At 45.6% G+C, this 20,400-nt stretch overlaps 2 long non-coding RNA genes across 4 annotated transcripts in view, besides 1 other annotated feature; one reads left to right on the forward strand and one right to left on the reverse strand.

Annotated features, from left to right (window-relative positions):
* The window catches only part of LOC107986930 (uncharacterized), a 139,865-nt gene that overhangs the window by 44,717 nt on the left and 74,748 nt on the right, over positions 1-20,400 (forward strand). The gene's annotated exons all lie outside the window — the stretch shown is intronic.
* Positions 1,623-2,187: an enhancer, noted in NCBI's record as "H3K4me1 hESC enhancer chr8:23566930-23567494 (GRCh37/hg19 assembly coordinates)". NCBI's record gives its function as "activates a minimal SCP1, AML or CMV promoter by ChIP-STARR-seq in naive H9 embryonic stem cells {active_cell/tissue: H9 hESC(naive)}" and the evidence as "EXISTENCE:reporter gene assay evidence [ECO:0000049][PMID:30033119]".
* Positions 5,070-19,149, reverse strand: LOC101929258 (uncharacterized). Of its 3 annotated transcripts, none has more exons than NR_188038.1 (4): positions 19,057-19,149; positions 18,668-18,817; positions 10,473-10,549; positions 5,070-7,453 (listed from the first exon to the last, which is right to left on the reverse strand). It is a non-coding gene; the product is annotated as an uncharacterized LOC101929258 (long non-coding RNA). The 3 variants fall into 3 exon arrangements; NR_188036.1 differs by having other exon boundaries at positions 10,461-10,549; NR_188037.1 differs by having other exon boundaries at positions 10,409-10,549.

A 20,400-nucleotide genomic window follows, 5' to 3' on the forward strand; every position in this document is an offset into this window, starting at 1 on the left:
TGTGTTTTAATCACAATGGGATCTCATTAGAGTTCTTTTGGGGATTTCAGATCAAATGTTTCTTTTTGTTTTTCTTTCCTTCCTTTCCCTCCCTCCCTCCCTCCTTTTTCTTTCTTTCTTTTCTTTCTTTCTCTTTCTTCCTTTTTTTTTTTTTTTTTGGTTACAGGGTCTCTCTCTGTCTCCCAGGCTGGAATGCAGTGGCCGGATCATGGCTCGCTGCAGCCTCGACCCGGACTCAGTGATCCTCCCACCTCAGCCTCCTGAGTAGCTGGGACCACAGATGCAGCCACTAAGCCTGGCTATTTATTTATTTATTTATTGCTTGTAGAGCCGGGGTTTCGCCATGTTGCTTAGGCTGGTCTTGAACTCCTGGGCTCAAGTAATGTGCCCACCTCGGCCTCCCAAAGTGCTGGGATTACAGGTGTGAGCCACCGCGCAGGCTTCAAATGCTTCTTAAACCTACTTACGTGAATTCAATGTTACAACAGCTGTTTGAATATGATTATCTCCTGAAATTCAGATAAACCCAACTCATCTCCCCAGGCTAATGGGTGCAAAATTGCACACAAATATTTATGCAAAATTTCAGCACATTTGATCATTCAGCTACAAAGTAATGATTTCCTATACATGGTAACATTTAATCTTCACATCAAAGCTATACCCAAATATTTCCAGCTGCTGCTCCTTCTTCTTCTTCCTCCTCCTCTTCTTCTTCTTCTTCTTCTTCTTCTTCTTCTTCTTCTTCTTCTTCTTCTTCTTCTTCTTCTTCTTCTTCTTCCCCTCCTCCTCCTCCTCCTCCTTCTCCTTCTCCTTCTTCTTCTTTTGTTCAGCGAGGAGTCCAGATCAGAGAGGTGGCCCAGATAGTTCACCAAATGGCAAGACCAGACTAGCCTCTAAACCAAGACAATTTACCCTGTCTTTCTTTCTTTTTGAAATATACATCCTTTGCTCTTAGAGATCTCAAAATCTTCTGATGACCCATACATTTATTTGAATTTTTGTTTCCTGATAAAAGTCATCATGCGCACCTTGGAAAAAGTGAAGAAAAGTTAAAAGAAAATATCCACCCAGAGACAACATTTTAGTGGACCTTCTTGTCTTTATTTCTGTATATATGAGCTCATAGGGTATATATGTTTGTATATGTTTAAATTTACATCATAAGCATGCCCAGTTCATCTTTAGAATTTTTTAAACAAATATAATTTAAAATAGGAATCTAATATTTCATGTTATTGATAGACCGTAGTAGACTGTGTTTGTATTTTTAGATAATATCTTTTTTTATCACTGTAAATAAGACTTTATTTTGTGCCTTCAATTTTCATCCTTGTCAATATTTTCTGTTATTTTCTCAGGATACATATGTAGAAGAAACATCAATCAGTCAAATATTTTAATGCTCATAAGACATGCCATTCCAGGGCTTCCTAGAAAAACAGTATTATCGTATTTTGTTCCCGGAGGTGCAGGCGAGTGCCTGGTCTACGGGTGTTTACAATCATCACCGGGCACCCACAAGAGACCCTGAACTTAGAATATTTCCGCGGTAGGAGTTCCGCCTCGTCCTTCCAGGGGATACTGACGACTCGCTGGGTTCTCGCCTTCCAAGTGCTGGAGGGGGGAAGTAGGGCCACCCGGGGTAGAAACCTAACGCCAGAAACCTTCCAGCGCCTTATCAGTTGGTGGAATTTTCGTGGCAGACAGTCGCGCTCTACCTAAGTCGTAGAAGAAAAGACACCTTGTGGGGGACTTGGCGTCGGAAGCCTTGAGTTCAAATCGTAGCCCTAGGTCCCCAGCCTTGCCCTTCCTGGCTTGCTGCGAGGATGAAATGAGATTTTTGTACGTGAAAATGCTTTCTAACCCCTCTCGAGGGGTGGAAACGTCTCCATTCGACCAGAGTCCGGGTCTGCGGAGCAATTTACCCGCCGCTTTCCAAGAGCAGGCTCCCCAGCGTAGCGAGTCCTTGTTATGGAAAGGGTCGTTTCGGCTCAGGATGCGCGCTCCCGGCGTAGACCTGGGGATAGGGGTCCCTGTCGCGCTCGCCCCACCCCTGCAGGGAGCAAGGCCGTCCTTCTGCAGCACCGCGCCACGCGGCGGGAATTTGCAGTGTCCTGCTTTCTGGTTTCAGCTTCTTCGCTCGCTTGGGTCTCTCTCGGTCACCTCTCGGAGGGGCCTGGAGTCCCTCCTCCCTCCTCCTACTTCAGCGCCAGAAGCATTGAAAGCCGCCCGCCCGCCGAGAGTGGAACCGGTACCTCGAATCTCGCTCATTCCGGGTCAATTGGAGGCGCATTAGCGGCTGCCTTGCAGTGCAACAGAGGCTCGAGTGACAGGCCACCTGCCTAAGCGCTGGCGCCCAGGAAAGCCGGGGAGGAAACTAGGAAGGGAGGCGACAGCAGAAAAGCCAGAGAGTCCAGAGACTCCTAGGCAGGCCTCCGTGCAGCCCCAACAGCGTGGTGCCGGGAGGTGTGTGTGTGTGTGTGTGTGTGTGTGTGTGTGTGTGTGTGTGTGTCCCTTACTCAGGAATGGAGACATCGTGATCACCTCTGTTCTTAGGTGAGATGGAGACGGCCGTGCTAGGGGTGTGATTGATCCGCTTTGCTTCACTCAGGTCCGCAGAGTGTTTTAAGCGCCTACCGTGGGCCAGCTCTGCCCAAGCTCTGGGAATACTGAGAAAATGAGAGGTCTCAGCCTTCTTATCCGAACTTGCATTCTTGCATAGAAGACAGACTTTTAAATAATTCCCATACATTGTGTTACCTTGCACAATCAGACGGAATTTGTACACTATATTTATTGATTTTTTTTTTTTGAGACGGAGTTTCGCTCTTTTGCCCAGGCTGGAGTGCAGTGGCATGATCTCGGCTCACTGCAACCTCCGCCTTTTCGGTTTCAAGCAATTCTCCTGCCTCAGCCTCCCGAGTAGCTGGGATTACAGGTGCCCGCCACCACACCCGGCTAATTTTTGTATTTTTAGTAGAGACCGGGTTTCACCATGTTGGCCAGGTTAGTCTCGAACTCCTGACCTCGTGATCTACCCGCCTCGGCCTCCCAAAGTGCTGGGATTACAGGCGTGAACCACCGCGCCCGGCCCTGAACCTCTACTTCTCCGTGGTTAACAAAAGTCATTATTTCCTGTTTCTTTCACTCTCCTGAAACGAAGGGATTCCCTCCAGCAAGTACCATACTCAACAGGCAATTCCTGGTAACCTCGCGGCTTAGTGGGCCCTGTGGGCCGAGGTGAAATCAGTCCTCTTTAACCCAAGTGCAGGATCCCCGTTAGACTAGACTAGACTTGGGCTCTGGGTCTGTTGTCACAGCTGTGTCCCCAAGGCACGTAGTAGGTCTTTAACAAATATTTATTGAGGACAGGTATCTGTCCTGCTTGATTGGGGATAGTTCCTAGGATACTCTGGGGACTGTCCCAAAGGGTGTCTGGGGACCATCAATGGTGGCAATTTCTGCTTTGCCACGGTCCCTTTTGCTGGGATCCACTTTTTAATACTGTAATAATGTATTTATATTTTTGAGTATTTGAAAAATTAACATGGTTCTTAAAATCAAAATTATGTAAAAAGATATACTTAAAGAAGTGACAGTACACCTTTATCCCTGTATTCCTGTTCCCACTCCCCTTTCTTTCCTAGTTGGTACACACTTCAAATCTCATTAGTTTGTCCTTTCTGTGCTTTAAAACAACAACAACAAATGAACAGATATATGTGTATTTTCTTATTTTTCCTTCTTTCTTACATGACAAGGCAGCTTAATATGGATACTCTTTCTTATTGTAAAGCCATGACATTTATTGTGTGTTTTTTTTTGAATTGATATCATGTCTCTGGTTGCTACCTGTGCATGGCCACTGCTTTAGAACAATAGCTGCAATAACAATGCCTGTGTACTTTCTACCTATATCTCCTTTGCTCAAAATAAGCTATTCCATGCCTGCAGTATACTCAGGATGGCGAGAATCTCCTACTACTCATGACTGTTAGCATAGGGCTTTATAACCTTATATTTCAGAGTGCATAATGATAATTTTAAAGTAAACCCTCAAAATGACTCAGTGAATTTTCTCATTTTTTCTTTTAAATGATGGCTTTAGCTTAGTCATCTTTATTTTACAGATAAAGAACACAGAGATTACATGTGGTCCAAGATCACACGGCTATCACATAGCAGAGGAAAATTAGAATCCAGGTTTTCTCACTACCAATCCTGGGGCCATTGTTCTGCACTTCTGTGGCCCTGCTCCCACATCAGTTCCCTCTAGAGCAGAAATGAAGAGTTGAAAAATAATGGGGAACGATTTGGCAAACAGATCTAGATTATTTCCTGTATGGTTTCCTTTTTTAAAAAATGCATATTTATATCTCATCTCACTGGTTCTCAAAATAACTCAGTGAGATGTGTAAAGTAGTTATGATTTCTAGTTTATAAATGAGGAAACTAAGAGAAAGGAAGGTTAAGAAACTTATTTGAGGCCACATCTATCTCCTGATTTCCCATATGGTGCTCTTTCATGTACTATGATCAATGCATTTATTTAGTAATTGCCTTTTATGTTTCTTCCTAATTTTTTTTGCTCAGTACGCGTTAGTACACTCACTCCGTAGAAACATATACTCAACATTTAAAACATTTTAGCAAAACCATTACTTCATTATGTTCCAAATTATTCCATTCAATTCAGAAGATATTTTCTGAGAGTGCCTATTACATGGAAAAGGTAATCATAGAATCTGTCACACAAACTGGGATACATTTTTTTTTAGAGACAGAGCCTCACTATGTTGCCTAGGCTGGTCTGGAACTCCCAGCCTCGAGTGATCCTCCCACCTTGACCTCCCAAAGCGTTGGGATTACAGGAGTAAGCTGCTGCACCTGGCCTAACTGGGAAAGGCCAGTGTCCTTTAACACTGGGAAAGTGGAAAGTGTCCTTTAACACTAACTAGATGGTGTGCCAAGTATAAACTAACCACAACTGTCCATATGGTCACCCCATATACAAGGCACTCAGACACAAAGATAAATAGTACACACTTCAGGACCCTCCAGGAGTATCCAGTCCAGTCAGGAGAAGACACAATAACTTTTATTGTAGAATGTCACCAGCTCACCTTTGTCTGCCGGACTGGCATTAATGTGCCTAATTTCATCCACTTGATGGATAACGTTTTCATTTATAATGATACTTTTATCATTAAAATCTATGATGTTGATCTGATTACCATATTTAAGAGACGGGTTGATCACTGGTGCATCCTTTTTCTGCTGCCACAAGGCAAGCACACCTGCAGTCAATCACACACCCAAAGCCCCATGGCCGGCACAGCCTCCTCCCCAGAACATGAGCTGTTCCCAGCTCTCATTGATTCTTGAAGATACTCTTTTGCCGTTACCTTTTTTTCACTTAACAATATATTCAGCAGTCACATCATATTGGTCCAAAGAGGTCTTCCTTATTGTTTTCTATAGTTGCCTAGTACTCCATTGCACGAATGTACCAAAGTTTATTCAACCACTGTTCTGTGAATGAGTATTTAGAGTTTTCCAGTACTTTACAATAATAAGTTTGTATGTGTTTTTATATTGTTGGAGGCATGTCTTCAGAGTCAAAAGACAATTGTCAATTGAATTTGTCGAAAGACAAATTTCTAAGAAATGGGACCATAGGTGAAACATAAATGCACATATAGTATTTTTAGGAGTTCTCCTCTCCAGAAAGGTTCTACAGGTTTGCATTCCACCAGTACTGTATGGGAGTGCCTGCTTCCCAGCTAGCCCGGGCAACGGAATGCATGATCATGCCTCTTAATTCTTACAAATTTGATAGGTGAGAAACAGTATCTCAGTGTTGTTTTTAATTTGCATTTCTCTAATTACAAGTGAGGTGCAACATCCTTTTATATGTTTAAGGGATATATACATATGTGTATGTATCTATACATATACATGTATAATATACATAACAATTAAAAACACATAAATATATACACATACATACACAAACGCAAATTGTATCCATCTCCCAATTTCAATTTTTAAGTTTTCTCAATATCAGTTACTTTGGTTATGTGTGCTATATGTTGCAAATATTTTCTTCCTGTTTGACAATTGTCTTTTGACTTCTTTTATAGTGATTTCTTACCATGCATTTTATAAAATGTAATCATTTGTGTTATGTTTACTTGCTTCTTGATTTGAGTCATGGTGAGAAGACCTTTCTTTTCCTACACTGAGGTTAAAAAGGAATTCACCCATATTTTATTCTGGTATTTGTTATAATTTCTTTGCTTACTTTCGAGTGTATTAGAGTGTATGGTGTGAATTAAGGATCTGATACGATCTTTTCCTAAATTGCTATGCTGAGGCCTTTTTGACGGTTTGTCCGCCATCACTTTCAGAGGCGCTCCGCGCGAACCCCGAAAATCTGTGCAAAATTCTCAGGGTTAGGGGAAGAGCATGGGTGGAGAGTAAAGTGAAGCGGGCCGAGAGATTTCTTGCATTAAATGTTTAGAAGAACCAACCAGTTAAAGGAAATAAAAATCTGCCGGTATGTAACCGCTGGGTGGGCTTCTCCATTTCTCCGTGTCACCCTCCCCCAGCCGGCCTCTTAGCTTCTCGGCTTTGGGTGGCGGAGACCGTTTAGTTCTGGGACAGACCGTCGGGGGCTGACTCCGGGGGTTTGCGGGCGCCGAGCTGCCTCCGCGCGCGTTCCACTCCTTCAGCGTGGAAAAGAAAACCCTCAGCGGCCAGAGAGGCGGCGGGGCCTTCCCGGATCGCTGATTCGGGGAGCCGCAGGCGGGGACGCTGCTGGGCGACGCTTATCTGCGCCGCGCTCGCCAGCTCCGTTTCAATTAACATTCCAGTGCCGCCGCCCGCCGCGGGAGCGGAGTCCCCACCAGCCCCTGGAAAAATAAACTCTAGGCCTAGCGGCTGTGCGTGCGTGTGTGTGTGCGTGCGTGTGTGCATGTGTGTGTGTGTGCGCGCGCGTGTGTGTGTCTGTAGAGCCGACAGAGTCCCAGATCAGTGCAGTCCAGAGCTGCCTATCCCCGGGTCGCGGTTCCCTGCGGGGTCGAGCCTGCGCCGGGCTGCAGCTCTCTGTCCCACTGCGCGGCGGGATGGCAGCTGCTCTTTTAATAAACTAGCAGTCGGCGGTCTGAGCCCTACAATATCCCCAAAGCCTGGTGTGCGATGGAACACATGGCTGCGTCCCCAGACCCCGAGAGGGGAGTTGCACACACATTGCTGACCTTGAGGGTCAGACAGACCCTTTCTCGTCTAGTTTTTAGCATCAGATGTAACCTCAGCTTGGGCTTCTATGATCTCATCGATGTCCTTTTGAGATAAGCAGGGCAGACGTCCTTCTCTCCATTCCAGGGATGGGATGTTGAGGCTCAGAGGAGTCCCTTAACTTGTTTATAGCCGCTGGCCAGCCTCTTGCCTAGGGAGGGGGACATGACAGGTCTGCTATTCATGGTTTCCCGGGGCTGAGCCCAGGGCTCCAAGTTGCACTTTCCTTAAGAAGTTACCAACCTGCACATTGCTATAAATAAGTTTCTACTGTCGCTATTGTTATTCTCTACAAATGTAAAATATGTCAACATCTCTCCTTGTGCCCACTGAATATAGGGCCACCCACCCCCTCCACTGGCTGTATATGTGGGAGGTGTCCACAGTGAATAACATTCTAAATGGAATCTTTCTACCAAAAAAAAAAAAAAAAGCCATTTAAACAAACAAACAAACAGAAACCCTTGTTGATTTCTTTCTTCAACATAATTGCAAGTTCCCAAGGATTGTTCCTGAATTCACCCTCCAGGGGCCTCCTGTGACTTGCTAGAGCCAGCCCAGGCTTCTGAACTTGTTTTTCTAATTAAAAGCTATTTTTGGGGTATAATACAGATAAACTAGTTGTGCTTGTGAGTTTAACTTTTAAAAGACTTTTTAAGCACATTCTTCAGGAAAAGGAGAAACCTGCTAAGGTGAGGTCGGTCAGGCCAAACTAGAAGCAGTTCTAAGTGTTAAGAGCAGCTGTGAAGTGGGCTTCCCAGTTAAATACCATCCGGCCAGGCACAGGGGCTCACACCTGTAATCCCAGCACTTTGGGAGGCTGAGGCAGGCCGAACACGAGGTCTGGAGATCAGGACCATCCTGGCTAACAAGGTGAAACCCTGTCTCTACTATTGTCTGTACTAAAAATACAAAAAATTAGCCGGGTGTGGTGGCAGGTGCCTGTAGTCCCAGCTATTCAGGAGGCTGAGGCAGGAGAATTGCTTGAACCTGGAAGGCAGAGGTTGCAGTGAGCTGAGATCACTCCACTGCACTCCAGCTTGGGCACCAGAGTGAAACTCTGTCTCAAAAAACAAAACAAACAGAATAAAACCCATCTATCCCAGCTTCTGGGGCTCATGACTGAATAGAGGTGTAAATGAGGTGACACGCCATCCTTCCGAGTATTTTGCCTCTGCATAGCACTCTTTAAATTTTTTTTTTTAATTTTACTTTAAGTTCTGGGATACATGTGCAGAACATGCAAGTTTGTTACCTAGGTATACATGTGCCATGGTGGTTTGCTCCACCTATCAACCCATCATCTAGGTTTTAGGCCGGGAACACGTTAGGTATTTGTCCCAATGCTCTCCCTCCCCTTGCCCCTCACCCCATGACAGGCCCCCGTGCATGATGTTCCCCTCCCTGTGTCCATGTGTTCTCATTGTTCAACTCCCACTTATGAGTGAGAACATGCAGTGTTTGGTTTTCCATTCCTGTTTTAGTTTGCTGAGAATGATGGTTCCCAGCTTCATCCATGTCCCTGCAAAGGACATGAACTCATCCTTTTTTATGGCTGCATAGTATTCCATGGTGTATATGTGCCACATTTTCTTTATCCATTCTATCATTGATGCACAACACTCTTTGAGTCCTAAGGCACTCATAGTCTGACCATCTATTGCCCCCTGAGGCAACAACTGTCAGACTATGTCCCTAGCCATCTGTGGGACCACCCAGCCCTGGAGGGTGTCTTGCATGGAAGGAACTTAATTTGTAGTATGGCCACAGGCTTCCATGTTCCTTAATCCTGGAAGGATGCCAGGGAAAGTGGGAAGTCTCCTAAGATCCTCCACCAATGCCCAGGGAACTTGTGGATGCTTCCCTCAACACACAGGAGAAGGGCATGTGAGTTACTGTGCAGGGGGAGTGAAGGCGAAGCCCAGGGCCTGGGGAGCTGCTGCAGCACAGTCCATTACTCTTTCCCCAGTGGCCGCTCTCCAAACATGCATAGCAGTGGTGGGAGGGGGAGTGCTGTGTGGAGCAACTACATGGACAAAGATGGAGCAGGCAGGCACAGCGGCATGCTGATGTTTGGTGCCATGTAGATAAATTATCCTGATAACCAAGTGTGTGCTTCCCCTTCTACCTCCTCCCCAGACAGTCTGACGCTGGGTAGAAGTATTAGAGAGCAGGATGGGTCATTTAAAAGCGACCCAGGGAAGGTCTTATTTTGATCAGGTCCATTTTATGTAAGAGAATTAGGCCCAGAAGGCTCTCACTGTGCCAGAGCTGCTCATCCAACTTCCTTTGGCAGGACTCCTCACTCCAGGGCCTGGAGCAGGGTTGGAGTGGACCTGTGGCCAGAAGACCCTGGGCATGCTTGGGGTAGGTGGAGGATGGAAGGGGAATACATTTACCCTAAAAGAAGCTGCTAATTCATTCTCCATTCCCGAGTCCTAGCAATTTGAGAGATTGCAGAACAGAAATTATAAGAAAAAGTTATAGAATGTTTGACTCTGAACCATCATGCTGACTGTCAAATAGTCACATCTTCAAAATTTTACTGTTTCCTTTTGATCCCCCTGAGAGTCTGGGAATAGAGATAGGAAGGGAGGAGCTGAAATTGTGTTTGTTAAAATACACAGGAGAGAGTGTCAAACCAAGTTTATGCAGAGAATAAAGCTGCCAGTCCTAACAATAATTGTTATTTCCTGTCTTATTCCAGGAGGGACTCTTTATCAAAAGCTAATATTTGGCTATTAATTTACCCAACTCTAGGCATTATCAACTACCCCCTTCATTTTTACAGACAGGGCCAGAGAAATCGAATAATGTGATTGAAAGCACATCCTTCGAAGCAAAGGATCAGGGCTTCTATTCTGCTGGGAATGCCACATTCCTCCCTGGGTCTTCTAGGCATGAGTTAGGTGTGTGTGGGGTATCAGCTTTTGGCATTCTCCCCCCGCCCTGCCTTCTTACCTAGTGCCTTTCTGCCAAGTAGCTTTAAATAAACATGGTTGGTTTAATTATAAACGATTCACTAAAATTCACAGCATTGCTTTTCCATTTTGAAGGGAGGGGTGGACTAAATATTAATAATAGCTAGTACTCATTCTGTGCCTACCAGGTGCTATGCTTTCTGTGGATATTTCTCATGTGTTTGTACAATTCCTTACCCGTAGCATTACCTCTTCTGCCAGATGTCCTCATAGCTCCTTCAGGTCTTTGCTTAGGTCAGCTTGATTTCTGCCTTTAGGAGCTTACACTGGGGAGGGAGGAACAGGAAATAAACAAGAAATATAACATATGGGTAAATTGCATAGCATGTTAGAAGGTAATATAAGATAAGGGGTAAGGGGGAGGAGGGATGTGCGTGTGCCATGCATGTGTGTTGCACAAAGGTGAGCAATTGCAATTTTAAGAAGAAAATTCAGGAATAGGCCTCTTTGAGAGGGTGCCCTTTGAGCAAGGGACCCAAGGGAGGTGGGGAAAGGAGCCATGTGGGTGTCTGGAGGGAGTGTGCAAAGGCCCAGAGGTGGGCTCACTCTTGGTATGTTTGAGAATCAATGTGCTGAGGATAGATGGAGTGGAGTGAATGAGGGGAAGAGGGAAGAGGGGGTAGAGGAGATGAGGTCAGAGAGGTAAGGGGGCCTTGATAGGCTAGTGAAGATCTTTGGCTTTTAATTTTGAGGCAAACTGAGAACACGGGAAGGTTTTCAGTAGAAGAGTATATAATACATAATGTGACTTAAGATCGTGAAAGCACTCCTTGTTGTCTGTGTTAGAATAGGTTACAGGACCACAGAGGTGGAAGGAGCAAGACTTGTTCAGAGGCCATTGCAATAATCTAGACAGCAGACCCAGGTGGAAACAGTGGAGGTGGTGAAAAGTGGTCAGATTCAGAGTGTATTCTGAAGAGTGAGGGAACAGGGTTTCCAGACCGATTGGACGTAGACAGTAAGACACAATGATGAGTCAAGGATGATTCTGTTTTTTTGGCTTGAGCAAATGGAAAGGTGGAGTTGCTGTCAGTTGAGAAGGAAAAGGCCACAGGCAGAAGAAGTTTTGGGAAGACCAAATGTTCAGTTTTAAAATTTGAGCTGATTATGAAATACCAGGTAGAGATCTCCATTAATACTTAGAGTCAGGCATTCAGGAGACAGGCCTAGGCTGAGAATATGTATTTGAGAGTTATTGACATGTGGATGATATTTAAAGGCATTATCCCAGATGAGATCACCAAGAAAGTGAGTGTAAACAGAGAAGAAAAGAAGTCCAAAACCAAATTCTCGGGTAACCCAAAAGTTAAGAGGGCCGGGGATAGGAGAAATTCACAAACCACCTCTTCTGAACTCTGCAAAAAAGGTCAATGTTATTATTATTTTCTGTAAATGTGCTGAGCTGATCTAGATGAAAAGAAACCAAAGAGTCATCACCACCAAATACATTTTGTGAACCTGCACTGGATACTGGCTAAAAGGAAGCTATGACAAACAAACCCTTTTGGGACAATTGGAGAAATCTGAATAGATATTAGATGGTATCATATTAATGTTAATTTTCTTAGCTGTAATAGTAGTAGAGTGGTTTTGTTGAAAGTCATGGCATACGCAACTTTCAAATGGCTCAACAAATACACATGGAGAGAGAACAAATGTGGCAAAATGGCAATAGCTGGTGAATGGTTAGGTGATTAGTCGGGTGAGGGAAATACCAGTGGGTATTCATTGCCCTGTTCTTTCAATTTTCCTATAGTATGAAAATTTCAAAATAAAACTGTCAGAGAAAAAAAGTTTGGGTGAACCAGTATAGGAGACTCCAGAGAAGAGCAGAACAACCAGAGAGGGCAATGGGTGTCCTGGAAGCCAAGTGAAGGAAGTGTGTAAAGCAGGAGGGAATAAAATCCACGTAAAATGCAAGGCCAGGCACAGTGGCTCACACCTGTAATCCCAGTACTTTGGGAGGCCACGGCAGGCCCATCACTTGAGGTCAGGAGTTTGAGACCAGCCCTGACAACAGGGTGAAACCCTGTCTCTACTAAAAATACAAAAATAACCGAGTGTGGTGGTATGCACCTGTAGTCTCAGCTACTCAGGAAGCTGAGGCAAGAGAATCGCTTGAATCCGGGAGGCAGAGGCTGCAGTGAGCCGAGATGGTGCCACTGCACTTCAGCCTGGGGACAGAGTGAGAATCCAAAAAAAAAAAAAAAAAAAACCATGTAAAATGCAACTGGTAGGCCAAGTAAGAGGACCTAGAAATGAATCTTGAATTTAAAAACAGAGAGTTAATGGTGACCTTGGCAGGGTGGCTGGGCAGGTGGGTGGGTGACAGTCACCTCTGCTGGCTAAACCCAAAGGATGGGCATGCTGATTCAGAGCCTGGGCCTCCAGAAGCCAGGAATGCGTGTGTGTGGTCACTCATCTTTGTGGAGGATGAGTCACGGTGAATGAATTGGGTGGCTGTACCAGGCAGGAGGGGGACCCGGGGGCTCCGCCTTGGCTCTCCAGTTTGGCAACAGAGATTGGCTTTTCTCTGGCAGCGCTCAGGGGTGGTTCAAAGAAACCTCTGAGTATAGTAACTGGGATTGGCTTTTATTTGACAGGGAGTAGGTTAATTCAAATGGAGAAGGTTGCATAGAAAGACCAAAATAACTGGAATAAAGAGTATGTTTATTAAGCAAATTCCAGTCTTCTCCAGGCAGAAAACAGCAGAGGTTTCTTCTCCATCCCTCCCTTCCTCCCTTTTCTCTCTCTCTCTTTGTCTTTCTCTCTCTCTCTCTCTCATCTGCTGCCTGAATTACCCCAGTAGTTGCGTCAATTCTGAGTTTTCTAGGGATATAGACCTGGCCTCAGAGTTGATTGCACAGAAACCAGCCTTGATGACAGATCTGCCCTCACCTCAAGGAGCCAAAACAGTTTTGAAAATGTCATGAGTCAATCTCAGTCTCTCTTTTTTTCTCGATCACTCTCCTTCTTCCTTTGTTCAAAAGTCACTAGATTCCTAAAGTAGCACGCATTCATCAATCACAAAGAAAAATCTAGAAAAACACAAAGAAAATCAAAATCTCCTAATCCCATTACCTAGACAAAAATTTTATTATCCATTTACTTATTTTTTGTATATGTATATAATTAATTCCTTTTAAACAGATAAGGATTAGATATGTGGCTTTCTGCTTTCCCCCCTTAACAATATATTGTAGAAATTGTGTATGTCATCAAACATTCTACTATAACACAATTTTGAGTAATTCTATAATATTTCGTCCTGTGGATCTATAGAATTTTTATTTTCTTTCTTTCTTTCTTTTTTTTTTTTTTTGAGATGGAGTCTTGCTCTATCACCCAGGCTGGAGGGCAGTGGTGCAATCTCAGGTCACTACAACCTCTGCCTCTTGGGTTCAAGCGATTCTCCTGCATTAGCCTCCCAGGTGCCCGCCACCATGCCTGGCTAATTTTATATTTCTAGTAGAGCCTGGATTTCACCATGTTGGCCAGGCTGGTCTTTAACTCCTGACCTCAGGTGATCCGCCTGCCCTGGCCTCCCAAAATCCTGGGATTACAGATGTGAGCCGCCATGCCCAGTGGATCTATAGAATTTTTAACATTAGAGTTATTTTGTGGGATATTTAGGTTTCTTACAGATTCTCACTTTTATAAGTAACATTTCTATTGTCAAAAGACATAAAATTGTACCAAATTTGTGATAGATGTAATTGGCTTTTAGTTGCAACTCCTGAGTGGGGACAGCCTCCATTCTACAAAATATCTGGAGAGCTGCACTAGGCAGTGTTCGAACAGTGAGTTTTGGAAGGTGGGAACAAGGAAACAAAACAATAAAAAAGAAGCTGATTGGTTAACATCAGTTTACTTTTTTGTAAGGGTTAAAGCAGAGGGGACTTCCTGATTATCCTGACTTGAGTAGACTGGAATCTCTTGTTTTTAGGAAAAAAATGGCCCATTTTGAAACCTGTTTGCTTTCATAAAATTTCAGTTTGATTTTGTGGCATTTAGCATGAGTGACTCCATTATGACTGGTCTGGTCTGTTGGAGCCTGGTGCAAGAGCTCAGTCTAAAACAATGGCCTCCCACAGTGTTGTTCATCACCATAAGCTTTCCTGTCATAAATATTTTTCTCAGATTGTTTTTCCTTGGTAAAAAGTGGGGGAGAGGGAGGAGGATGGAAGTCATCAGTTCTTCCAGAAAGGTGGCCTGTGGTGGCAGAACCTACTAGAAAAAATGGACATCACTCAGAGAGCCTCAAGTAAATGCCTCTGGGTGTAGTCTGAGTCCCTCTGTCCCCAGCTGGGCCTTAGTGCCTTGCGGGATCCATTCACAACCACTCCTTCTCTGGGTGGGGGCGGGGTGGGGGGCTCCTTCCAGTCTCCTAGGAGACCTCAGTTTCTAGAGAAGGTGATCTCACCAGGAGAAGCCAAGGGATCATGAAGTGACAGGGGTGGTGGGGTGGTGGGGTGGAGGGGTGGTGGGGTGGTGGTGGATATTGAATGGGCCCAGTTCCTGGTTCCCAGAGAGTTCCCTGGCCCAGAAATGGCTGTTGGAGCTTGGAGAAGGGCTCATGTTGGGCAACCCACTGTTGAGCACAGCCTGCAGCCAGGGCAGGGTCGTGAGGGCTTTCTGGTAGTTTTGCAAGTTTCCTTGGGGATATAAGGTGCAAACGTGGAATGCATCCACATCATTTAGCTTTGGGATGGTTGCACAGAAGCAGAAATGAATTTTCCTTGGCTGTCTGCAGCTTCCCCCACTTCGGGCTGCCTGGGGCCAAGAATATCCAGTGGTTACAGAGGCCACAGCCAGAATCCTGAGGATATTTGTCTTGCATTGCAGGAGAATACATTGGAGGTAGAATTTTAAGGCACCGACTCAAAACCCCAATGTCCCTAAATGTGAGAAGCAAATGGTTAAAACTTCTTTAAAAATGAGGCCAGGCACAGTGGCCCATGCCTGTAATCCCAGCACTTTGGGAGGCCGAGGCGGGCGAATCACCTGAGGCCGGGGGTTTGAGACCAGCCTGACCAACATGGAGAAACCTTGTCTCTACTAAAAATACAAAATTAGCCAGGTGTGGTGGCGCATGCCTGTAATCCCAGCTACTTGGGAGGCTGAGGCAGGAGAATCGCTTGAACCAGGGAGGCGGAGGTTGTGGTGAGCCAAGATCATGACATTGCACTCCAGCCTGGGCAACAAAAACAAAACTCTGTCAAAAAAAAAAAAAAAAAAGACTTGGAAGAATATTTTCAGGACTTTGGGGTAGGGGGTAGATTTCTTATAATACGTACAACCTATGAAGGAAAAGACTGGCAAATGAGACTACATTTTGGTCATCAAAAACCATCAGTACTCTACTAAAAAGGCGAACCAGAGAGATTTTTGCAGCACATCATGGCAAAGAGCTGGCATCCAGAATATGGACCAATCTCTTCCAAATCAATAAGAATTTAAAACATGGACAAACAACTTTTTTTTCCCCCAGAAGGAAGAAATCTAAACAGCCAATAAGCATAAAAACAGGCATTCATCAACAGGCTAAATTGGCTGAAAATTTAAAGTTTGACCACAGGAGGCACAGGCTAGGCTGTGGAGCCAGATAAATGTCCATACACTGTTGAGTGGGAGTGAAAAGTGAAAGTCTGCATGACAGTGTCTAACAAGGTTGGAGGTCCAATTATTCTATGACCCAGCAATTCCGCTTGTGCAAATAAACCCCACTGAAGTGTCTGAACACCTGCGCTGAGACACTTACACTAATGTTCATGGTGGCACTGTTTTCAATAGCTCCAAAATGGAAATAATTCAAATGTTCACCCATAGAAAAATTGGATAAAACAAAATATGTTATAGTATGGAATGACACAGAAGAATATGTATGAAATACCCTAAGTATGAAATGCTCAGTAAAGAAATAAGTAGTATGAAATACTCTAAAACAACAAAAGTAAGTGAAGTACAGATACACACAACAACGATGAATCTTTCTTTTTTTTTTTTGAGACGGTCTTGCTCTGTTGCCCATGCTGGAGTGCAGTGGCACAATCATAGCTCCTTGCATCTTTTTTCTGGGTTTAAGCAATCCTCCCTCCTCAGTCTTCTGAATAGCTGGGACTACAGGCATGCGCCACCCATGCCTGGCTAATTTTAAAATTATTTTCAAATGGAGGTGAGGTCTCACTATATTGCCCAGGCTGGTCTTAAATTCCTGAGCTCAAGCGACCCTCCTGCTTCAGCCTTGCAAAGAGTCAGGATTACAGGTGGGAACCACCATACCTGGCCCCAGGGATGAATCTTAAAGACAAAATGTTGAGCAAAATAAGCCAGATACAAAACACATACTAAATGATTTCATTTACATAAGGTCTTAAAAGCAGGCAAAATTAAACTACTGCATATTGCGGAGACATACTTAGGTAATGCAACTACTAAAAGAAAAGAAAAAGAATGAATTCTGTAAAAGTAAGGGTGGTGATGACTACCAAGGAGGAGGGAGAGAGAGAGGTTTGTGAGCCAGAAGAGGCTTGTGAGAGTTTCGAGGGTGTCCTGACCTGGGTGGGTGTTGTCCTAATGTTTATTTGACAGTTCCTTAGCTTCAACATTTATGTTTTATACATTTTTTGGTGGGTGTGTTTGCTATATTTTGTATCCCTCCTCCCAGTTAAAATAGGGACAGAGATTATCTGAGGCAGAGGCTGGGGAAACCCTTATTATTTTCTGATTAAAGAATGGAGGAGTGGAGGGATAAAGTTTTGCTGTTTTCAGCTATGCACATAAAGTGAAACTATGTTAGTGAAACATAAGTGAAACTATGTTAAGACATTGTGAACATTACATTCTTTCCTAGTAGAGATTCTTTAAGGGCCACTTCAGTCCTGTAGTAGAGATAATTGATTTATCTTTACTTGAATGTAATGAACATAACAAGGCTTAGCCTGAAACAGTGTCTCCAGCTTTTGAAAGCAGCCTGCAGTCATCACCTTTGTATTGACGAAATTAATCATTGCTGGTGTTACAGTATCTATGTCCCTATTATAATTATTTTTTCTTACCAAAACTTTTCCCCACAAATAGAGCAGATACTTCAAATAAGTCACTATTCCCAGTCAGGTGTATTCTGAGTTAACAAAAGCCAGCTGCCCACCAGGGTTTCAGCCTCTGACTGGGAGGAACCCTGAGGTGGAGGCTCCCTAAGCCCCACCTCCTTCCCTATTCTCAGCAAAACCAGGCAGAAAGCATCGCAGGTAAGGAAGCTGTTCACTCCTACGCATACTACTGGGAATGTATGGACCAACTGGGGAAGAATTTCAGGTCAAAATTAGGGAAACGAGGGGAATTAGAAAGTGCAGAAGGTGGCTGGGGTGTGGTGGCTGACGCCTGTAATTCCAGCACTTTGGGAGGCCGAGGTGGGCAGGTCACTTGAGCTCAGGAGTTTGAGACCAGCCTGGACAACAGAGAGAGACCCCATTTCTACAACAAACAAACAAACAAAACAAAACAACAAAAACCCCCAAATTAGCCAGATATGGTGGTGCCCGCCTGTAGTCCCAGTTATTTAGGAGGCTGAGGCAGAGGATCGCTTGAGCCCAGGAGGTTGAAACTGCAGTGAGCCCTGACCATGCCACTGCACTCCAGCCTGGGCGACAGAGTTAAGACCCTGTCTTAAAAAAAAAATAAAAAGGTGTAGAGGATGAGTTCTCAGGCAAGTCAGAACTTGCTGGATGATTTGATTTTTTTTTTTTTTTTTTTTTTTGAGACGGAGTCTCGCTCTGCCGCCCAGGCTGGAGTGCAGTGGCGCGATCTTGGCTCACTGCAAGCTCCGCCTCCCGGGTTCCCCCCATTCTCCTGCCTCAGCCTCCCGAGTAGCGGGACTACAGGCGCCCGCCACCACGCCCAGCTAAGTTTTTGTTTTTCAGTAGAGACGGGGTTTGACCATGTTAGCCAGCATGGTCTTGATCTCCTGACCTCGTGATCCACCCGCCTCGGCCTCCCCAAATGCTGGGATTACAGGCGTGAGCCACCGCGCCCGGCGGATGATTTGATTTTTAAAATGTAAAGTGATAATCGGTGATTGTGTCAGCAGAATTATTTGTAAAATATTTACTTGTATGTTGCATTTTCTCATTAGAGGTTTCTCTTATCATTTTAATAGAATAGACATTCATTTAGCTATATATTTTGAAATATACACCTTGAATTTTACGTTGAAACAGACACAAATACTCCGTAGAAAAATAACCTGTTCACTTTCGAAATCTTAGAGAACTTTGTTTTTTCACATTTGATGATAAGAATGTTTACGTGGTGCCAGGACCTGTTCTAGTCCTTTATGGATATGAACTCCTTTAATCCTCACCCAGATGGTTTGAGCTGAGTACCTCTTATTGCAGCGGGGATACTAAGGCCGGGACAACAAAAGTACGTCGCTGACTCGAAGCTGGGCGGCGGGTTTCAGAGGCTGAGTTCTTAACACCAGGGCACTTCCTTGTAGCCACCACGCCCGGCTGCATCCTCCACCCGGCCGGTTTCTAGAAATAGGAGATACCGAGAAGTTAGGGTGGCCCAGGTCTGGCCTTAGATCTGCAGAGGGGCGAGTGCAGATTGCGCGATGGCGAGGCTCCTGCGACAAGGCGAACACCAAGGACGCGAGCTATCTGGAACCACAAATAAAACAAATTCAGGGACGGCGTTGACACCGCGGCCACCTCCTAGGCGCTTCTTGGAAGGGCGCGGCTGTGGTGCCCGCTCTGCCCGTGGTCCCGCTTACTTTTGGACTCTGTCCCCCATGGGGCTGGGGTCCGGGTCCGCGCCCTGACCCCCGCCTCCGCCGTCAGTCTCTCTCCGCTCCCAGCCGGGTGGCGCCGCAGGGGGTGGGGTTGTTTTCGTTTGGCCCCGGGGACGTCCTTGTCATTCCAACAGCCTCCCGGTGCGGCCCAAACACCCTGGGCCACCCGACACCTCGCGCTGTTGACGACGCGGGGCCGCCGGCGCCAGGGCGGGTGGTGGAGCTCCGCGCAGGCCGGGGGGAACCGCAAGAGGAGCCGGGGCGGGCGGCGGCCCCGGGCGGGTCAGGGGCGGCGCGAGCCCACACAGAGCGGTGAAACTACCAGGGGCCCTCCCACTCTTCCCGGACTCCGGAGGAGCTAAGCCGGCAGGGATCGCTCGCCCACCCTGAGCACTTTACCTGCATGGTGGCCAAGACCCTTCGTCCGGACCCTACTCCTGTTTTCCTCTAGCACTCACTTCCCTCCGTACTGTTAATATTATTTACTTAATAGTTTATGTTGATTTTACTACCTTTTAGAAAATGTAAAACAAAATATTTATTTTAACTTAAATCTAGATAATAGCATTCGTTAAAGCATATGATACTATGTTTTAACGGATGCTGTTATTGCATTATAACTATAACTTGCAAAACTGTTTGTCTTTTCTCATCGTCTTTCACACTGTCTGTGACCTGCACACCACACTCGAGAGATTCTTTAATCCTATTTTACACCCCTTCTCCCCACCACAACCAGTCCCATTTTACAGATGAAAGAGGTGAGGTGCGTAGGGACCTTTCTTGGGGATGGCAGCGCGCACCCGCCCCACACCTGACCTGCACCTGCCCCGCACCTACCCCACATCTGCCCCGCAGCTGCCCCACACCCGGCTGCGCGTGCCTTTCTCGCTTGGATCCCTGGCACGGTGATGCTCAGCTCCTGGGTGGCTGGAGGAGGCTGTCGACATTGGCTTCCTAGCCCAGGGGCCTTGACTGAACATTCACTGCTCTCCCAGCCTGGGAAGGGATGGGAGGTGCAGGAGACCACCTACCTGGCATCTGCTGGCACCAGCCAGCCCGCACCTGAGGTTTTGTAGGTAGGCTTAGAAAGCGATTCCTGGAGTGCTGACAGTCTTGCCGCTTGCTCTCCCGTGGTGCCTCACCTACACTCCAGGACCACTCTGGGGCCATTCAAGAGCTCGCCCACTTTGTGACTGCTAGAGCTGCCTTGTTGAAACAGCCTTCATGTACCTATGCTCACCTGCCCACTGAGGCTTACTGCCAGGACATACCCCTTTGGGGAAAGAAAAAACCAAAAACTTAACTGGCAAATTTGATGACACT

Source organism: Homo sapiens, chromosome 8 (genome assembly GCF_000001405.40).
Source record: "Homo sapiens chromosome 8, GRCh38.p14 Primary Assembly".
Classification (NCBI taxonomy): Eukaryota; Metazoa; Chordata; class Mammalia; order Primates; family Hominidae; genus Homo; species Homo sapiens.